General features: G+C 50.4%; 6 annotated features.

Annotated features, from left to right (window-relative positions):
* Positions 401–901: an enhancer, noted in NCBI's record as "H3K27ac hESC enhancer chr5:148812860-148813360 (GRCh37/hg19 assembly coordinates)". NCBI's record gives its function as "activates a minimal SCP1, AML or CMV promoter by ChIP-STARR-seq in naive H9 embryonic stem cells {active_cell/tissue: H9 hESC(naive)}" and the evidence as "EXISTENCE:reporter gene assay evidence [ECO:0000049][PMID:30033119]".
* Positions 8,298–9,115: an enhancer, noted in NCBI's record as "H3K27ac-H3K4me1 hESC enhancer chr5:148820757-148821574 (GRCh37/hg19 assembly coordinates)". NCBI's record gives its function as "activates a minimal SCP1, AML or CMV promoter by ChIP-STARR-seq in primed H9 embryonic stem cells {active_cell/tissue: H9 hESC(primed)}" and the evidence as "EXISTENCE:reporter gene assay evidence [ECO:0000049][PMID:30033119]".
* Positions 9,116–9,933: an enhancer, noted in NCBI's record as "H3K27ac-H3K4me1 hESC enhancer chr5:148821575-148822392 (GRCh37/hg19 assembly coordinates)". NCBI's record gives its function as "activates a minimal SCP1, AML or CMV promoter by ChIP-STARR-seq in primed H9 embryonic stem cells {active_cell/tissue: H9 hESC(primed)}" and the evidence as "EXISTENCE:reporter gene assay evidence [ECO:0000049][PMID:30033119]".
* Positions 12,475–13,239: an enhancer, noted in NCBI's record as "H3K27ac hESC enhancer chr5:148824934-148825698 (GRCh37/hg19 assembly coordinates)". NCBI's record gives its function as "activates a minimal SCP1, AML or CMV promoter by ChIP-STARR-seq in naive H9 embryonic stem cells {active_cell/tissue: H9 hESC(naive)}" and the evidence as "EXISTENCE:reporter gene assay evidence [ECO:0000049][PMID:30033119]".
* Positions 12,475–13,244: a biological region, named in NCBI's record as "Sharpr-MPRA regulatory region 14097".
* Positions 12,950–13,244: an enhancer, noted in NCBI's record as "tiled region #14097; HepG2 Activating non-DNase unmatched - State 5:Enh, and K562 Activating DNase unmatched - State 5:Enh". NCBI's record gives its function as "activates a minimal TATA promoter and a strong SV40 promoter by Sharpr-MPRA in HepG2 and K562 cells {active_cell/tissue: HepG2 | K562}" and the evidence as "EXISTENCE:reporter gene assay evidence [ECO:0000049][PMID:27701403]".

Genomic DNA, 20,763 nt, shown 5'->3' on the forward strand with positions numbered 1-20,763 from the left:
AACCTGACAGGCCCAGCTGAACACCCCCAAGTGGCTCCACACAGCCACTTTGGGAGGCCACATAGATAGCAGTCAGGACCCACATCCTGGCAGTTGGAGGCCCCAGGAAGCAGCCATGTCTGGGGATGCTTCCCTGGTATGGAGGGTTAGGGGATGGAGAGTGTCCCTTGAAGCTCAGTGAGGGCTTCTTGGGGCACTTGGGATCTAGCCATGTGGCAACCCCTCTCTGTCAGTCACAATGGTGTGACTGACCAGGTCAAATAAGAAAGAGTGTGAAATGTGAAGCCAGTTCACATCTCACACAGGTGTTTGGATTCACAGTGGCCTCTGGACATTAGCCAGGCCCTGCAGTAACACTGGACATTAGCTGTGCCATAGGCAGCGTGGCCAGCACATGAGGACACTTTTCACATGGTTATCTGCCTTGGCGTGATCCTCCAAACTGCCATATTTTGAGGGGAAAAAAAAACACCACCTGAAAAACCACTGTGTTAGTCCGTTTTCACACTGCTATAAAGAATACCACCTGAGACTGGGTAATTTATAAAGAAAGGAAGTTTAATTGACTCACAGTTCTGCATGGCTGGGGAGGCCTCAGGAAACTTGCAGTCATGGCAGAAGAGGAAGGGAAAGCAAGGCACGTCTTACATGGCAGCAGCGGGGAGAGAGAGCGAGGAAGTGCCACACTTTAAAACCATCAGCTCTCATGAGAACTCACTCTCACCAGCTCTCACAAGAACAGCATGGAGGAAACTGCCCTCATGATCCAATCACCTCCCACCAGGCCCCTCCCTTGACACCTGGGGATTACAATTCAAGATGAGATGTGGGTGGGGACACAGAGCCAAACCATATCAACTGCCTCTCACCTGATGATCCTCAAATGCAAAGGGCGTCCCCGCATCTCTCTTGTGCATCCCAGGAGCTGAGAGGAGGCCTGGGTAGCAGCACTTCCCTACTGAGGGGCCTGAGATTCCACAAGGCCACAGGCCACCAAGGAGCCCAGGGAGGGAGTGCAGGGACAGACCGGGGCACTCCAGGCCCCATCCACTGGCCACTGCACCTCTTCCTTTTTCAGCTTTGAAACAGGACCCAACCAGACACTGGGGCTTTCTCAAAGCTCACAGTCCTTGTCCTTGCCATGGTTCCTTCCAGAACTCCCTTTCCACATGCTTGGGGAATGGATCACCAGGTCAGATGGGGCTTCTCGAATCCCACAGACAGGTGGCACGCTGTGGTTTGAGATTCCTGGGGGTATCGGGGTTGGAAGTGGGCAGGAATAATGGTAAATATCCAGGTAAAGGAGCAGCCTCTTTACTCACCCAGTGCCACTAAAGCACTTACGCATGCCTACCTGTGCTTGAGGCTGGAGAGACAGCTGTGAAAAAGACAGCCAGAGAACTCCTGCATTGGAGAAGAAACTCCATCATCGCATGTAAATATGAGATCCTGCACCCCACGTGCAGAAATGCAGGGTTGAGACCATTTCTGAGCACAGCTCTATAAGTAGCAACACTTTCAAACACATCCCTCAATGCCACCACATGGGCCTCCATTCTATAGAGAAGGAATGGGCACCCCATGTGACAAGTCCAGCGAAAAGTCCCCAGGACAGAGCCTAGGGCCCAGGCTCTTCCCAGATGGAGGAGCTGTACCTCCTTTTACTTACAGGGAGGGGTGGACCAGACCCTCCTGGAGTAGTGGGTGATGAGGCATGGCACTGGCAGGGGGAGAGGGTGCCCTCTTGTGGTCTTCCCTGAAAGGACACGTTTCCTTGCTTACAAAGACTTTCTATGATTAATGTTATCAGGGACTATTACCTAACACATTTCTGTAGGATTTTGCATTTCAGAATGAACTTTCAATTAATTTTTTTTGAGACAGGGTCTCACTCTGTCACCCAGGCTGGAGTGCAGTGACACAATCACGGCTCACTGCAGCCCCCACACCCTGGGCTTAAGTAATCCTTCCACTTCAGCCTCCCAAATAGCTAGGACTACAGGCACCACCACACCCAGCTAATTTTTTGAGTATTTTGTAGAGATGGGGTTTCACTATGTTGCCCAGGCTGGTCTCAAACTCCTGGGCAATCAAGCAATCCTCCCACCTCGACCTCCCAAAGTGCTGGGATTGCAGGTGTGAGCCACCAAACCCAAACCCAGCACAAAATGCACTTTCCATCCCATGACCTCATTTGATCCTTGCTATGAGAGGCATATTGTCATTATGCTTTTACAAGAGCCAGAGAGGTCAGACAATACTTGTTATTAAGATAATAATGGCCAGGTGCGGCGGCTCACACCTCTAATTCCAACACTTTGAGAGGCCGAGGCGGTGGATCACTTGAGCCCGGTATTTCGAGACCAGCTTGGGCAACACGGCAAAATCCTGTCTGTACAAAAAAATGCAAAAATTAGCAGAGTGTGGTGGTATGCACCTGTGGTCCCAGCTACTCTAGAGGCTGAGGCAGGAAGACTGCTTGAGCCTGGGAGATGGAGGCTGCAGTGAGCTGTGATCACACCACTGCACTCCAGCCTGGCCAACAGAATGAGACCCTGTCTCAAAAAATAATAATAATAATAACAAAAGTAACGATAATTTGTTGGGCCCTTAACTCTGTGCCCAGCTCTGTTAATTTATTTTACACATATTATCTCATTTGTGATATCAACCTATGAGGTGGCTATTCCGGTCCTTATAGAACAACAAACAACCTGTGAGGTATATATTCTGGTCCTTATAGATGGAGGACAAGTTCAAAGTGTTAGAAACATGCCCAGGGCCCCCTAACTGGTAAGTAGCTACATCAGGAAGCAAACCCAGGGTGCCACCTTCCATACCAGCTTGGTAAGAGCAGTGTTCAATCTGGTCCTCCAGCCTATGGGAGATCCCCCAGCTGCCTCTGGCCAGGAAGAAGGCCCTGGGAGATGTCACCCACCAGAATTGACTCAGGGTTCCCAACAAGGATCCCAAGATGCCATTGGCCTTGGAACCAGCAGCCCCTCTGGAGGCACCATCTTCCACCTCCTTCTGTGCCCTGAAGAAGTTGGCTCAGGAGAGAGACTTTTTTTCTGCTTCAGAAAGAAAGGTTCCCAAGGCTCCCTGAGAGCTGCCTCTCTGAGAAGGGGACAGCAGGAAGGGCACCCTGAAATGGCTGCAGGGTATGGCTCAATGGCCCACACAAAGGAGGTGAAATAGGATGCCGTGGTCCTGAATAACACATGCACACACAAAATGCTGCCCGCTATTTGAGAGCTATTTTAGAGAAAACCTAAGAACTCTTTCTTTAGTGTATGTCATGGTTTCCATAAAGTACTTGGCCTTCAGTATTCGTTTATGTATTTGACAAATGTTTATGGAAGGCTTGCTATGTTCCAGGCACCATTTCCAGCACCCAGGATGGAGGGGTGAACAAAACAGATTCCAGTTCAATTTACAGTCTAGAGTAGGGTACGGGGAACAGGAACAAACAAAGAGACAGATGTATTTATAGTATTAGGTAGAAGGAAAAATACATAAAACATCATCAAGACAATTTTATATTGGCATACATTCGGTGAAATGCAGGAATTCACACTTTGTAAACAGGGTGGTATGATAAGAAGAGCCAAAAACAAAGGAGCTATTTTAAATTGGGAGTTCAGGGAGGACTTCTCGGGGGAGATGAAATTTCAGTAGGAATTACAGGAAGACAGTGGGGACTGAAGGGTCTGGGGGGTCCAGGCAGGAGCAAGGATGGCACCAAGACCTGGCAGAAGGAGGGCGGGATTGGCCGGGTGCAGTGGCTCACACCTGTAATTCCAGCACTTTGGGAGGCTAAGGCAAGCAGATCACCTGAGGTCAGGAGTGCGAGACCAGCCTGGCCAACATGGTGAAACCCCATCTCTACTAAAAATACAAAAATTAGCAGGGTGTGGTGGCGGGAGCCTGTAATCCCAGCTACTTGGGAGGCTGAGGCAGGAGAATTGCTTGAACCCGGGAGGCAGAGGTTGCAGTGAGCCGAGATTACGCCACTGCACTCCAGCCTGGGTAACAGAGTGAGACTCCATCTCAAAAAAAAAAAGAAGAAGAAGAAAAAGAGTGGGATCTTCATGCAGGAGGACAGTGGGGCTGGAGCCTAGAGGACAAGAGGAGACCATGGGATGGGGTCAGAGGGGCACAGAGGCCAGGTTGGGTGGAGCCGCGTAGCCCACTTGAGGAGTTTGGATCTCATCTAAGTGCGTGACTGACAGCGTCAGATACACATTTTAAAAGATCACTCCTGGCCAGGCACGGTGGCTCACACCCGTAATCCCAACACTTTGGGAGGCTGAGGCAGGTGGATCACTTGATATCAGGAGTTTAAGACCAACATGGCAAAACCCCGTCTCTACTAAAAATACAAAAATTAGCCAGGCAGGGTGGCACATGCCTGTAATCTCAGCTACTCGGGAGGTTGCAGTGAGCCAAGATTGTTCCACTGCACTCCAGCCTGGGCAACAGAACAAGACTCTGTCTCAAAAAAAAAAAAAAAAGTAAAATTAAAAGATCACTCCTAAACGGGGCAGGGAGGGAAAGCAAATGTATTCCTCTTGTATACTTTTTTATATCTATATAAAGAAACCCAGGAAAAATACAAAAGGACCTAATAAAAGTGTTTACCTATGAAAGCAAACTTCTCAATACCCACTCTTGCATCATTTTGACATCTTAACCATATGTAGATATCATCTGTATTCCTGTCTTGTGGCTGCCATAACAAACTGTCACAAACTGGGTGGCTTCAGACAATAGCGATTTATTCTCTCACATTTCCAGAGGCCAGAAGTTCAAATCCGGGCGTGGGCAGGGCCACATTTCCTCCCAAGGCTGTGGGGAGCTTCTCTTCCCTGTCTCTTCCATCTTCTGGGGCGCCACACATTTCTTGGTGCATCGAGGACATTGCTCCAATCTCTGTCTGTGTGGTTACAGGGCCTCCTCCCCTTCTCTCTGTTTTTTTTTTTTTTTTTTTTTTTTTTTGAGACAGGTTCTGGCTCTATCGCCCAGGCTGGAGTGCAGTGGTGCAATCTCTGATCACTCCAACCTTCACCTCCTGGGTTCGAGCAATTCTCATGCCTCAGCCACCTGAGTAGCTGGGATTACAGGCGCACCACCGTGCCCAACTAACTTTTATATTTTTTTGTAGAGACAAAGTCCTGCCATGTTGCCTCGGCTGGTCTCACACTCCTGGGCTCAAGCAAAGCACCCCAGAATGTTGGGATTACAGGCGTGAGCCACCACACCTGGCCCCTTCTGTCAAATCTTCCCCATGTGACTCTGATTAAGACACTTGTCAGTGAATTTAGGACCCACTCAAATAATCCAGGATGATCTCTTCGTCTCAAGATTCTTAACTTAATTACATCTGCAAAGATCCTTTTTTCCAAACAAGGTCGCAGTCCCACAGATCCTAGGAATCCAGCTTTGGACATATCTTTTGGGATGCCACCATTCAACCCATCATGCTACCTACTCAAAAAGACCGAAGTAAACTGAAACATTTCTTCTAGCTGTGGGGTGGGGAATGAACTATAGGGTGGTGGGATGGAGGCGGAGTGGGCACGTGTGGGAGGAAAGGCCAAGAGAAAGTGATCTGTGGGAGGGAAAAGTCAGAATGTAGCATTCCTCACCCCTCCCCTGTCTGGTTTAAGCAAATGGCACATTTTGGTGCCTCTGCTGTGGCTGGGGAGATTGGAGGACAAAGCGGGTTTGCAGGAGGTGGGGATTGGGAAGGGAGGAAAGTTTTAGAAGTTTCAAAATGTTTCAAGTAGGTAGTTGGAAGACCGCATGGCAAGGGAGGGGGAATGGAAGCCTCAGATGACTGAGCAACCCAGGCTACAGAAGCCCCATCATCTCCCTCCTTAGAGAGCTCAGCATCTGGGGATGCAGCCACCTGGCAGAGTTGGCCATGATTCAGCTTGTGAAATCCAGGTTTCTCCCAGTCTACATTTGCACAACCAATTCTGTGAATTTAAATGCAAGACTTCTCATCTCCAATGTAAATTTCAGGATCCCTATGACTAATCTTTCCCCGTAATTCTGCCTCCAAACCAAGCAGGAGTGTATGCATAGTATGATCCCATTTTTGCAGGAGGAAAAGACTCTTTGTGTGGGCCTATAACAATAGCTAATCCTGGCTGAGCCAGACATTGTGCTGAGCTCAGCATACTTTATCTCATTTCATTTTCTCAGCCACACTCTAAACAAGGTGGAATTCTCATCTTCCGAGGAAGAAAATGAGACTCAGAGAGGTCACTCGCCCAAACTAGTGACCTATTGGGAGTTGTACGCTGGTGTCTTGGCCTTTGTGTCTATAATCATTAACGCCTCCCCCCACCTTTACGCCCACTTGTAGATACAAATGCATATAAAACATTCAAGCATATACCTACAAAGCTGTTAACAGTGGTTAGTTCTGAGATGGTGGTGAGAGGCTACCCATTACACAGTTCTGCCTCACTTTAAATTATCTTCAAAGGACTGGGCACAGTGGCTCAGGTCTGTAATCCTAGCACTTTGGGAGGCCAAGGTGGGCAGATCACCTGAGGTCAGGAGTTCGAGACCCGCTTGGCCAACAGGGCAAAACCCCTTCTCTACTAAAAATACAAAAATTAGCTGGCTATGGCAACGCACACCTGTAATCCCAGCTACTTTGGAGGCTGAGGCAGAAGAATCACTTGAACCCAGGAGATGGAGGTTGCAGTGAGCTGAGATCGTGCCACTGCACTCCAGTCTGGGCAACAGAGTGAGACTCCATCTCAAAAAATAAATTAATTAATTAATTAATTAAATTAAATTAAATTATCTTCAAGGAATCTGCTTCTCTAATTAGTAAATAGACATCTGTTCATCCAGAGAAAAATCTGGAAGAACATACACCAAAATGTCAACTGTGGTTCCATCTGGGGAGCATAAGCATGGGAAACGAGCTACCTTCCACACTGTATATTTTGATGTTGTTTGAACTTTATACGATGAGCATGTGCCACTTTTGTAAGCAGAAAAAGTAATTAAGACCTTTTTTTTTTTTAACGTAAAAGGAAGAATAAAGAGGAGGGTGACTCAGCAGCTGGCAACAGAGGCCCCACCTTCCTTCCTGTGCTCCTTTCCACCTCTCCCCACCCACATGCACACACCCTAACTGGAAAAACCTGGGCTCCTGCCGGCTGCGTCTGTCCTTCCCGTCTCTCCTCCTAGTGGTTGAACTGGGCCACCGCTAATCCCAGGGCAATAATATCTCCCCCTCACCTTTATTAGTGGCTTGTGGTTTATGGGATGCCTCCAGTGCCAGCTCATGTTTAATCCTCCCCATGATGCTGTGAGGTAGCTATTCTCATGCCCATTCTACAGACATGGAAACTGAGGCTCAGCAAAGCTAAGCTCCCTGCCAGAGGTCACATAGCATGTCTGCGATTGTGCCTGGGCCCAAATTCCCAGGCCAGGCTTCTTGAATGCTGCATCAGTTCAAGCTCATTTCAGGAACCTGAGGTTTGCTACCTAAAATCGGCCTGTTGGATCTTGTTCAGCCACATGAAACAGCAGATGTGCGCCTGTTCTCTGAAGAGCCCATCCCTGCAGCCTCAGGCACTCAGCCCTTCCCTGCACTGCCTTGGCCCTGGGGCTGAGCCTGAGAGAGAGGAATGGAAGGGCGCTTTGGGTCCTGACAGAGAAGCGTGGGTAAAAGGGAGACAAAAAGGGGGCAGACCCCTAGCATACACACAGATGGGCACAGGCAGGCAAACCCTACAGTCTAGGAAAGTGGGTAGGGGCCAGGCAAGGTGGCTTACGCCTGTAATCCCAGCACTTTAGGCCGAGGTGGGAGGATCACCTGAGGTCAGGAGTTTGAGACCAGCCCAGCTAACACGGTGAAACCCTGTCTCTACTAAAAATACAAAAATTAGCCAGGTGTAGTGGCGAGCACCTGTATTCCCAGCTGCTTGGGAGGCTGAGGCAAGAGAATTGCTTGAACCCGGCAGGCAGAGGTTGCAGTGAGCCGAGACCATGCCGCTGCACTCCAGCCTGGGCAACAAGAGTGAAACTCCATCTCAAAAAAAAAAAAAAAAAAAGTGGGTATGGGCTGGATCAGAATCCTGGATATGGCTTTGATCAAATCATTTAGTGTCTGTGGGCCTCAGTTCCCTCATCTGGAAAACGTGCATTACAGTAGCACCACCTTATAGAGCAGTTCCAAGGACTCAGTGGGGAATCCTTAGAGTGCATTTAGCACAATACCTGGACATAATGCCTGCTGAATAAGTGCTGCTTCTTGTTATTAACAAGACTGAATTGATCTGATCAAAGCAGCTCCCTTTGGTTTCAGCGAACATTTACTGAGTGCCTACTATGTGCAGGCCTGGGGTAAGCCCTGGGGATATTGTGATAAAGTAGATGGAGCTCTGCTCTCACACAGCTCCCAAGCGATCAAGGGAGGCCAACCCAGAAAGAGGCAGACCATTCCTGGAGGCCACCAGGGTGGAGGGGTCCATGTGAGGTGAGACCTTGAATGCCAGACTGAGCTATCTGAACCTTCTCCTGTTGGCCTGGGAGCCACGGAAGGTCTTAGAGCAGGGGTCGCTGACCAAGTCGTCTCATGTAGAAGTGGGATCTCGGTCCCTGCGGCCCACCCGCTTCCTGAGCCATCGTTGAGGACGGTGTGGTGGGAGAAGGGGAAGCTTAAGAGGGTCAGGCACTGGGCCTGTGAGGCCAGGATGGGGGCGTCTTGGCTCAGACAGGGTTGAAGGTGGACTCGGGGAGGCCACACAGAGACGTTAGGGAGGGGATTCGGTCCTGGAGTCAGTAGCAGGGGAAGAATCCATTTAAACTCAACCAAGGGCAGGGCTAACAAGCTTATCTGGGGGTGCGGCTGATCACTGCAGGGGCGTCTCAGGTGATTTTGTTTTCTTTCTGCGTGTCTGTGTCTTCCGTTTTTCTACATGGAGTGACCAGAAGAGATGAGGCCAGCTGTTGTTTGGGAGCCCCGGGATGAGACTCAAGGGGTCGCATCTCAGCGCAGGGCACGGAGGAGCTCCTGTGCAGCTGGAGGAAGGAAGCAGGACTCACTGGCAAGTTCTGGGATGCAGGGAGAGAGGCTTGGACATGCCGGGGCTGCGGCTTTGGGCAACGCCAGCCTCTATGAACCTTGACATCCTCCTCTGTTGGGGGGTAATGATGGCGTGGCAGAGGGGGTAGGCCCAGAGGAGGATCTGGGGCACCCCCCTACCCTCCGGCTCCCGGGCGTGTCTGCGTCCGTGTCATCTTCCGCCCAGGCGTGGGCCAACTCAGCACAATCTGGCAGGGCGAGCCTGGGCACCAGCTGAGGGAGGCTGGGTTCCAGCCCCTCGCTGCCCAGCCTGACCCAGTTGCCCCAACAGGAGGGCCTCCAATTTCTCCTGGGGCAGCCCAGTCACCTGGGAAATTCTGCTCATAGCAAGCAGGAAAAGGCCAGGACTCACGCCCCAATGACGCCACAGCTGGGCAAGCCCTGGGGACCCAGAGGGCCTGGTTCCAGTCCCGCCTGTGGAACAAACTCAAAGTTGCCTTCTCTGGGGCTCAGTTTCCCCTCTGATTACCACCTCAACCAATCCGTGTGTTCATTTTCCCTTTGTGGGGGCATCTACCAAGTGTCAGACCTGCAATAAGCATCAAGCATCAGTGAACCCCTATCCTTAGCCTTGGGAAGCACCCAGCCTGGCTCGTCTGCAGCCCTGTGCCCACGCACAAAACTAGAAGCTGCTCTGCAGGGCCAGTGGGCTTGGCTTCCCTCTGCATCCGCAAGGCGGCAGGTGCCCAGAAGAGGGCAGCAGAGAGCGCGTCTCCAGCCTCCCAGGCTGAATCCCAGTGAAAGGGAGCCTGTGACCTTGGCAGTCGTGGAAGGCCAAGGCCAAGGCCTGGGGATTTTTCAGCCTCACTGTTGTCAGGACAAAGTTTCAGAGGTACCTCTGGCACATTAGCATTCTCTTTGTCCTGGACCCCTGGGCGGCCGACACCCCCGCACTCTCCAGTCCCAGAGCATCCGGCCCTGACACCCTGGCCTGTGCACTGCCCCCCAGGAAGAGTTGTCCTGGGGCTGCTTTCAACCAGCTGTGGCCAGCTCTGGGGAATGGAAGGAGGGTACTGAGGACTGAGGAAGGCTGGGGAGGAGAAGCCCCATCAGCCACGGCAAGTCCCCGCCACCAGGGGCATGGGCTGGTCCTAGGAGCAGTGGGCACCCTGCAGCGCCTTCCACTAGGTAGTGAACGATACCAGTACGTTTTCTAAAGATCACCGTGGTGCCATGAGGAGGACAGACTAGCACTCACATTCAGACACACGCTCATGTTCTCATTCTCACACATGCACACTCTCATGCACACTCATGCTAACACGTTTCACACAAATCACCCCAAACTCACACACTCAGATACACTCACACTCACATGCTAACACAGACATATACACATTCATGCTCACAGTCATACCCTTTCACACCAACACACTCATACAAACCAGAGCTCACCCATTTCCACACAGCTTGCACACTCGCGAACACTCGCCCACACTTATGTATACACACAACACTCACACACTCATACTCTCATACACTAACACACATTCATTTTTCACACAGCTCTTACAAGTGTTCGTGTACACACACTTACATATGTTCACACAGTCACACACACACCCCTCCATATGCTCGCACACACACACACACACTCATGCACTCACACTCGAGGCCTTCCTGGAGTGGGTCGGGTGCAGTCCGAGGGGGCACTGTCAGCTCCGCTGCCTCCTGCCGGGGTTCCAGGGATAATCCCAGCTCTCAGGCATCTGATGTGCCTCCCACCCACTTCTGAAAAGGATTTCAGATGGTTTAGAAAGGCAAAGCCCAATTGAAGCAGGATAATGAAAAAGAAAAACAGAGGAGGGTAGAGACGTTAAAATCTTAACCCCGGTTTCTCCTGGCCCAGGGCCTTCTAAGCCCAGAAGTACTCAGTGGTCTGTGATTTCAGAGCCCCTGCCCCAGGCCACCTTTTCCTGGCCTCTGTCAACGGCACTTCAGCCCTTGTGGGCCTCTCTACTTGTCCCAAGGCGGGCTGTGAGAGGGCTTCTCCCCTGCCACCATGCCCACCACTGCTTGGGGGGTTAGGGCACCAGTCTCTGGTCTCCCTTCAGCTGCCTGAAAGGGGGCTGGGCTGAAGGCAGTTCAAATGACTGCCTCACAAATGGTGTTCCCCGACATCGGTCAGGCTGCCAAGCAAACATCTTGGCTCTACCTCTGTCTTTCCTCGAGATGAACTCCCAGCAACCCAGGACCCTCCAGTGCTGAAGCAGAGTTCCTTGTCTCATTGTTCCAGAGTCCTAGTCTTGATGCTCTACCCATCTGACCCTCAGTCCCAACACAGCCCAGCACAGTTTCTCAGTGAGGGCCTTATTCAGATAAGACACCCAGGGAGTGATGATATGGTTTGGATCTGTGTCCCCACCCAAATCTAACCCCCAGTGTCAGAGGTGGGGCCTGGTGGGAGGTGATTGGATCATGCACGGAGATTTCTCATGCAAGGTTTAGCACTATCCCCCTTGGTGCTGTTCTCATGAGAGTAAGTGAGTTCTCACGAGATTGGGTTGTTCAAGAGTATGCAGCACCTCCCCTCTCTCTCTTGCTCCTGTTCCTGCCATGTAAGACGTGCTGGCTTCCCCTTCCCCTTCTGCCATGATTGTAAGTTTCCTGAGGCCTCCCCAGAAGCTGAACAGATGCCAGCATCATGCTTCCTGTACAGCCTGCAGAACCGTGAGCCAATTAAACCTCTTTTTCTTTATAAATTACCCAGTCTCAGGTATTTCTTTACAGCTCTGCAAGAACCAACTAATACAGTGACACATCCTGATATTCCAAAATTGCTCAAGTGGGTGTTTCAGTCAGCTAATGCAGTAACATTTGGTTTGCCGCAACACAAACCAACCCAAAATCTAATGGCTTAAAATAGCTTTTTTTTTTTTTTTTTTGAGACAGGGTCTTGCTCTGTCACCCACGCTGGAGTGCAGTGGCACAATCACAGTTCACTGCAGCCTCAGCCTCCTGGGTTCAAGTAATCCTCCCACCTCAGACTCCCAAGTAGCTGGGATCATAGGCATGCACCACCATACCTGGCTTATTTACTTTTTGTAGAGAAAGGTCTCACTATGTTGCCTAGTCTGGCTTCAAACTCCTGGGCTCGAGCAATCCTCCCACCTCAGCCTCCCGATGTGCTGGAATTACTTGGCCTAAAATATCAATTTATTATTTCTCATGATTTCCACGTGTTAAGAATAACGCTCAAAATCCTAAGGAAATTGTACACTCGAACAAAGGATTCTCAGCAAAGCAATTTTACTTCTGCGCAGGGGAGTGCCTTCTCGGCTAGTTGCCTTGAGATCACACTTGAACAAAGGTCACGAGAGCTTTTATTCTTGACGCAAGTCCTGCCTTTGTACCCTTTCCCCATTGGCCAGGGTCGGGTCTTACAATCTAAACTAATCTTGGTTGGCTAAACGTTGGTTTTTTTTTTTTTTTTAGATAGGGTGGGCACGTAAAAGAAAGTAAAAAAGAAGGGGAAGGGGTGTCTGTAATGAGCTAGAAAGTTAGTCCCCTTTCCAAATAAGGAAAGGAATGTGAGCTGGAACGGATAACGCCTGGTACTGAGGTGTGCCTGAGCATCTAAAAAAGGCAACAGGGAAAAAGGGGAAGAAGGAGGAGAAGGAGTGGGGGGATACTATGAATTAAAGAATAAAAGATTGAGCAGATTATTTCAAGGGAAACCTCATCATATCCCACACACGGGTTGGCTGAGCTCACCTGGGCCATTCTTCTGCTATGCATGGTGTTGGCTGGGGTTGCAATGTTCGAGATAACTTCCCTCACATGTCATGCCTTCACTATGGTGGCTGAAACATCGGTGTCTGCCCAGGCCTCAACTCTCCCGTGGCCTCATAATCTTTCCCACAGGGTAGCTGGACTTGTTTACATGGCAGCTCAGAGCTCTAAGGGAGTAAAAGCACAAGGCTCTAGGTCTCGTAAGGCCTCAGCCTGGAACTAGCACACCATCACATAAGCCACACTCTACTGGTCAAAGCAGGTCATAAAACAAGCTATGAGTCATGATTTAAGGGGAGGGGGAATGGACTTCACCTCCCACTGGGAGACAGCACACACGCACAGGGTTGAATCGTTGGCAACCATTTCACAGACACTCTGCCACGGTGTCCAAGCTCATTAGACTCCCAACATGTTGTCTATAGAAGAAGCAGAACAGCAGATATATCATCGGGCTGAGATGACTCAGCCCTTTTTTTATTTTTTGTTTTTTTTTTTGGAGACAGAGTCTTGCTCTGTTACCCAGGCTGGAATGCAGTGGCAGGATCTCAGCTCACTGCAGCCTCCAGGTTCAAACAATTCTCATGCCTCAGCCTCCTGAGTAGCTGGGATTACCGGCAAGTGACACCATGTCCAGCTAATTTTTGTATTTTTAGTTAGAGAAGGAGTTTCACCATGTTGGCCAGACTGGTCTTGAACTCCTGGCCTCAAGCAATCTACTGGCCTTGGCCTCCGAAAGTGCTAGGATTACAGGTGTGAGCTACTGCGCCCGGCCAGACTTAGCATTCTTAATCACAAAATTCTTATTTCCATTTCCTGGCAGAATTATGTTTTAGTTAATGTATTATTGGGGATAATTTCATTTGTATGTGATGGAAACTCAGTTTAAACCAGCTTATGCAAAAAAGAACATTGACTCATATACTATGAAATTCAGAAGTAGGCTGGGTGCGGTGGCTCATGCCTGTAATCCCAGCACTTTGGGAGGCTGAGGTGGGTGGATCACCTGAGGTCGGGAGTTTGAGACCAGCCTGACGAACATGGAGAAACCCTGTCCCTATTAAAAATAAAAAATTAGCCGGGTGTGGTGGCACGCACCTGTAATCCCAGCCACTAGGGAGGCTGAGGCAGGAGAATCACTTGAACCCGGGAGGCAGATGTTGCAGTGAGCTGAGATGGAGCCATTGCACTCCAGCCTGGGCAACAAGAGTGAAACTCCATCTCAACAAAAAAAAAAAAAAAGAAAGAAATTCAGGGGTATAACAGCTTCAGGCATGGCTGGTTCCAGGGGCCCAGTAATGTCACTGGTAATGTGTCACACTCTCCATTCTCTGCTCTGCTGTCCTGTGTATTGATTTTATTCCCTCATTCCCAGGAAAACTCTTTCTATAAGGTGCAAAAATAGCCACCAGCAACTCCAGATTTACATCTTATCAGCTTAGCACCCACACTGGAAAAGATGTGTTTCCCCTCACCCCTCCCCACCGCCCCACCACTTAAGTTAGCAAAAGTCCCAGGGCTGTCTCTTAATGGCCCAAACTGAACCATGAACAAATCCAGATTCATCACCATGACTCCAATTAGACAGGCCTGAGCATTGTGCTCACCCCCTGGAGGAGAAGAGTGGATGGAATCAGCCCCATCGGAACCACATGGACTGAAAGCTGAGGTGGGGAGGGGATGGGTTGCACAGAAGAAAAGCAGGTGATGTTACCAAAAGGAGGTGAAAGGCATAATGCTAAGAAACAAACACAACAGAGGGCCACTGCACTATCTGATGTGTCGGCAGACTAAGAAAGTCATATGAGCTCAGCTGGAGATAAGCGTTTTCCTGATTCTGAATTCCAGAATGAATCCCTTCACAGAAGCAGTTAAATCCAGGGCCCTTCCTGACACAGTGAACAATAGCTTCACCTCCATTTTTGTACAAATTTGGAAACATCCTTCAAGTACCCATTTCACAACTTGCCCAGCTTTGAAAGCCAAGGACAGAACACCTTTTGCCCCAAGGGAAGGCAATTTTTCAGGTTGCTCAGCTCACATGTTCCCAGGGACAGACTTCCAAACACTGGGAAGATGCTTAGTCAGCAAGAAGAATGGAGAGGCTGCCCTTCTCTAATATCCGGCATCTCTCTGAGCTCTCCTACCCTCCCTCACCTGTCTCACCATTCCATGTCACTCAGATCCCTGCTTTGGGCCAACGGCAAGTGTTCAGACCTTGGCTATAGTGATAGAGAATTGAGAACAACAAACGCATGGACTTGACTTTTAGAATGGAAAGAGATCAAGAATATCATCTAGGGAAGAGACTGCTGATTGTCCCTCAACATCCGTTCTCCCCTTCCACAAAGATGGACTTGGTAGCTGCGACCACGGCCACCCAGAATGAAGACAACATTTCCCGTCCTCCTTTGCCACTGGCCATGGCCATGTGACTAAGTCTAGCCAATGAGATGAGAGCATCGACACCCCTGGCAGCTTCTGAGAATCTTCCTTTTCCTTTTCCACCTTTGCCCCTTCATCCTTCTGTCACTGTCCCTTCTTTCATCTTGCTCCCTGGAATGTGGATATGCTGGCCACCATTTTGGACCATGAGGATGAAGGCCACACGATAGGGAATGTGATTTGAAAGACAGGAGCCATGAGCCCCCTCCCACTCCCTTACCCCTGCAATCAGGCAGAGAAGAGCTGCCACACCAGCCCGGATCACTCATCCTCAGACTTTCATGGGAGAAAGACGTAAGTAAGAAAGAAAAGTATCCATGTTATATAAGCCATTACTGTTTTGGGCTTCTGTTTCCTGCAGTCAAATCTAATCCTAATTGATGACACATTATTTCTTCTCATTTTCCCATAGCCTTCACCCTCCCATCCCCCACCCCCAATACACACATCTTCCACCCAACGCTTGAATCCTCTCCAAACCACTGTATTAATAGAAAGAGTAACTGTACAGTTCACACAGCTAGAGTGACAGGGTGCTTGCTACCTCTCAGGTCACTTTGTCTTTGGAATAGATTTGCCAGAAAAGTGTTAGAAAATTCTGCCTCATATTCATTCATTCACTCTGCATACGAACCCAGTTCTCTCCCTCAGGAGGGCCACCCAGTCTTTCAGACAGTGCTCTGGGCTCCCAGAGCTTCTCTTCCCAGTTTCCTCAGCCTTTCCTATGGGACTTGTCTCCTTTTGGGACATCCTTCACTCTAGTCCCTAAAGCCACATGGGGAAAAATGCCTCATGTTTGCCTCTCCCTGGCACAGGGCTGGGGCTGCAGGTTTGCAGGGAGTTTTTGATTCCATGATGCAATATGTTATATATCAGTGCAGCTCCAAGACAGTTTGGGTATGTGATAAGAATTCCTCACATTTGCACAGCAGCTTACACACTTGGAAGCATTCTCCCACAATTCCATTTTCTGCTTGTAATATAGACTCATGGAAAATAATAATAATAGCAGTAATAATAATATTAATAATGTCACCTTAACAGAAGTGTAAAGGAATGCATAAAACGTAACATGAAAGTACAAATTAAAAAATAGGAGCAAAAGAATAAAAAAACAAAGATCTTAAATCAAGCTCCAGAGACCAGAAAAAATGCACAAGCAAAGGGAAGCGGGTTATAAAATATAAGCAGACTAATAGAAATCACACCTGCACACAGCGTAACTAGACACTTCGCTGCCATTTTAGTGCTTCTTCTTCCTGAGGCCCTGAAGCAAGCAGGGGGCGCTACATGATTAAAGCCTCAGGATACTATCACTGATTTACAGATGGTGAAAATGACACTGGGGAGGTTAAGGGCCCTTTCTCAGGTCCCCCAGGCTGTAAATGTTGGAACCACTTCCTTGACCCCCATGCTCTCCACTCAGTCTTTGCCCCTCATTCCACTGGACGAACTGGCCTTCAGCCTGGAGCACTCTCCCCCACCCCTTTCTTGACACTGGTACCGTCTCTCCTCCACATCTCAACCCAGATGTCACCTCCCCGGCCAGCCCTTCCCTGACCCCAATCTAGAGCAGGCTCTTCCCTCTCTCATAACTGGTTCATCACGAGTCTACTCTGGAACATGCACCCAGTTTACCATGAAGTATTTGTTCAACATGGCCCCTCTCGCTGAGGACCGGACTGCACTGTCTCATTTGCTGCTGTGTCTGCAGCACCTGGAATGGAGCCTGGCACTTCCATGTGCTGGAGCCTCCCGGCAAATGGCAGCCCGTGCTCACAACTGTCGGATGACCCTGCCTTCCCAGGAGGCGTCGCTGAGGCACTGACTCCTGGGACCGAAGGAGCCTTTAGAGCCCACTTCCCCCTATCCCCTCATAATAGAAAGGGGAAACTGAGGCTGTAGCAGGCAAGGAACTTGTCAGGGCCTCACAGTGGTTAGATACAAAGCTGGTGGGGAGGGCCCCAGGTCCTGGGTCCAGGCCAAGAGCCTGACACCAATGGGTTACCCCAACTGTGTCAGGGTTTCTATCCATGGAGGGGTAAAATGAGGCAAGAGGGTCCCAGAAATGTATCTTGTAAGAGGGGTTGCCTAGAACAATGGGGCCTGCTTGGGGAGGAGGTGGAGAGGCCCGCAGGCCTGGCTGGGAAGGAATCCAGCAGGGGCCTTGCTCAGTTTCCTTCCAGCACATGGGGGAAGTAAACACATTCCTTGGCTATGCAAGCGTCCCTGCCTCCAGCCACCCTCCCAGCTGTCAGAGCCTTGGGTCCCAGCCAGTGGCTAGCTGTACCATGGAGGAAAGGACCCAGAGAGAGCGTATATGATTCTCCCAGGGTCACAGAGCACTGTGTGTCTCATACCCTTTGCCTGGGCACAGAGAGGAGAGAAGGACACCAGTGTCTCTCTTCCCTGCAATCCCAGATTGGGCCAGGCAGAGGCCCAGGAAATGCGGAGTTCCAGGTGAGGCTGGGCCTCTCCGAAGATCACTATCTGGATCCCCTGCACTGGCCAGGAAAGTGAGGAGAAGGGTACTAGGGAACCCTGACAAAGCATCCAGCCCTGCCTCCCTACTGTACCAATGGGGAAACTGAGGCCCAGAAGGGCAGGGACTTGCTCCGAGCATCCCAGCAAGCTCGTAGCTAAACCAAGACTAGAGCCCAGGTCTTGTGAGCAATGGCTTCGTATGTCTCTGCTGCCTCCCAGCCCCTTCAGCCCCCTTCTATCCCCTCTTCCTTCTGCTGGGTCTGGTCCTCGCTGATGCTGATTCTTCTGCCCAGAATTCCCTCCTTGAACTTTTTCACCCAGGCAAACTTCTACTTGTACTTCAGAACAATTTCAAGCTTCCTGACTAAAGAGGTCACGCAGCCCGGGGACGGGGCGGATCCTGCAACAGGAGCAGCTGTCCTCGGACCCCAGTGCCAGGGCTGCAATTGCAGCAGCTGTGAAACCTGGCTGTTGGTAGCAGCCAGGAGTGATTCACAGTGAGGGGGAAGGCAGGAAGGTTTGGGTGTCGCCCCTGTGTAAAAAGTCCCAGTGTCGCTGGGTGTGGTGGCTCACGCCTGTAATCCCAGCACTTTGGGAGGCTGAGGCAGGTGGATCACGAGGTCAGGAGTTCAAGACCAGCCTGGCCAGGATGGTAAAACCCCATCTCTACTAAAAATACAAAAATTAGCCAGGCGTGGTGGCAGGCACCTGTAATCCCCGCTACTCGGGAGGCTGAGGCAGAGAATTGCTAATCCAAGAGGCAGAGGTTGCAGTGAGCCAAGATCGTGCCACTGCACTCCAGCCTGGGTAACAGAGAGAGACTCCGTCTCAAAAAGAAAAAAAAAGTCCCAGTTTCATGAAACAGTGCCTGGACTCTGGATGGGGAGACCTGGTCCCAACCTGCCTCTCTCGTCCAGCCGTGGGACCTCTCTGGGCCTCGGTATACTGCGAGATGCCACCAAGGCTGACTTCTGGGTCTGGAATTAGAACCACAGGGTAATTTTTAACTCTTGTGCCAGCTCCAACTGATTGATAGTGGCTGTCTGGAGAGCTGTGTTGAGGAGGATTCTTGTATTGATTGACTTATTGATTGATTGATTGATTGATTTAGAGACAGGGTCTCACTGTGTCGTCCGGGCTGGAGTGCAATGGTGCGATCATAGCTCACTGTAATCTTGAACCCGGGGCCTCAAGTGATCCTCCCACCGTGACCTCCTAAAGTGCCGGGATGACAGGTGTGCACCCCTCACCTGGTCCTGAGGATTCTGAGGTAGGGAGTCTGATGTTCGATTAGTTGTACAAGGTCTCTAAGGGCCCCCCTGCCCTGAGGAATATACCCCTCCGATCCCAGTCAGCAGCTCTGAGCTAATGCAGGGCCTCTGGCCAGGCCACAGGGCTGGGCCTCACCACTCTGAGCTTCCGTGTCCCCGATACATGAAAGACCCCAGCCTCTCAGAGGAGATAAAGGACCTTCCCTGGCAATGGGCCTCTGGCTGCAGGCTGTCGCCCTCTCCCCTCTGCTTGACCCCAGATACACATTCTTTCCAGCTTGTTCCAGCCAGTGCTTTTCCTCCTGAGTTGCTGCTGCCTCTGCAGGCTAATTTGGGCCAGATCAGCACAAAACAGGCCTCAGCAGAGCACTAAGCTAAGCCACTTCCTGCCTGCCACAGGGAAGCGCTGGGGTCTGTAGAGAAAGAGGGGAGAAAGGACGAGAGGCTGAAGTCCAGTCCCTGCACTGATAAGCAGCCTTGGACGCTGCCCTGTGAAGGAATTTCCTGTTTCTGCCTCCTTCTTCCTCCTGAGTGCGGCTTATGTACTCCTCCAGCGCCACAGTGTCTGGTTAGGGACAAGGCTGCCCTTTGTAGGTCAGAGAGCTGGGTTTGCGTCAGCTTGCTGTGTGACGTTGGGCTGGCCTGTGCCTTAGTTTTCTCATCTGTAAAGTGGGATAAATTAACAGCACTAAATTCATTCTGATCAAGTGATGACTAAGGGATTTGTGGGGAATAGTGTCCCCTAAAAACTTAACGTCCATCAGAATCTGTGAATGTGACCTCATTTGGAAACAGAGTTTTGTAGATGTAATCCAATTAAAATTAGTTCATACTGGATTAGGGTGGGCCCTAAATCCAATGTGACTGGTGTCCTTACAAAAAGAGGGAAATTTGGTTGGATGTGGTGGTTCATACCTGTAATCCCAACACTTTGGGAAGCCGAGGACGGTGGATGGCTTGAGCCCAGGAGTTCAAGACTAGCCTGAGCAATGTAGAGAGACCCCATCTCAATAAAAAATAATAATAAATTAAAAACATAAAAGCCGAGGGAAATTTGGACACAGAGACAAAACACAAATATGCACAAAGAGAATTCCATGTAAAGATAGACTGAGATTGAGATAGGCAGAGATTGGAGTTCGCTGCCACAAACCAAGGAATGCCAGAAGCCACCAGCAGTTGGAAGAGGCCAGGAAGGATTCTCCCCAGAGCCTCTCGGGGGAGCGTGTCCCAGCTGACACCTTGATTTGGGACTTCTGGCCTCTGGAGTTGTGAAAGATATAAGTTTCTGTCTTAAGCCACCCAGTTGGAGGTGATTTGCTACAGCAATGCCAGCACACAAAAACAGGGGTATCCATAAAGCACAGGACTTGACGCCAGGCACAGCAGGACCTCAACAGAGGGAGCTGCCGCTGCTGCCTCTGGGGTTGCTATTGTTTCCCTCCGTCCTCCATCCCTGCCTCCCCCGAGACATACCAGTCTTCCTGACTCACAGCCCTAACACGTCCCTCCTCTCAGCCACTGGCCGGCACACGCCAACTGTGGAATCAGACAGTAGGACTAGACATGTGGGGCAGATGGCGGTCTCACAAAGGCTGGCTGAGACCAAGCCCAGAAAAAAGCAGTTTCCCCACAGTGGGAAAGACAAGGTGCGGCAGGACCCACAGCCACTGCCGAATGCTAGACTGTAAGCTCCGCGAGGGCAGGGGCCAG

This window comes from Homo sapiens, chromosome 5, assembly GCF_000001405.40.
Source record: "Homo sapiens chromosome 5, GRCh38.p14 Primary Assembly".
Taxonomy (NCBI): domain Eukaryota; kingdom Metazoa; phylum Chordata; class Mammalia; order Primates; family Hominidae; genus Homo; species Homo sapiens.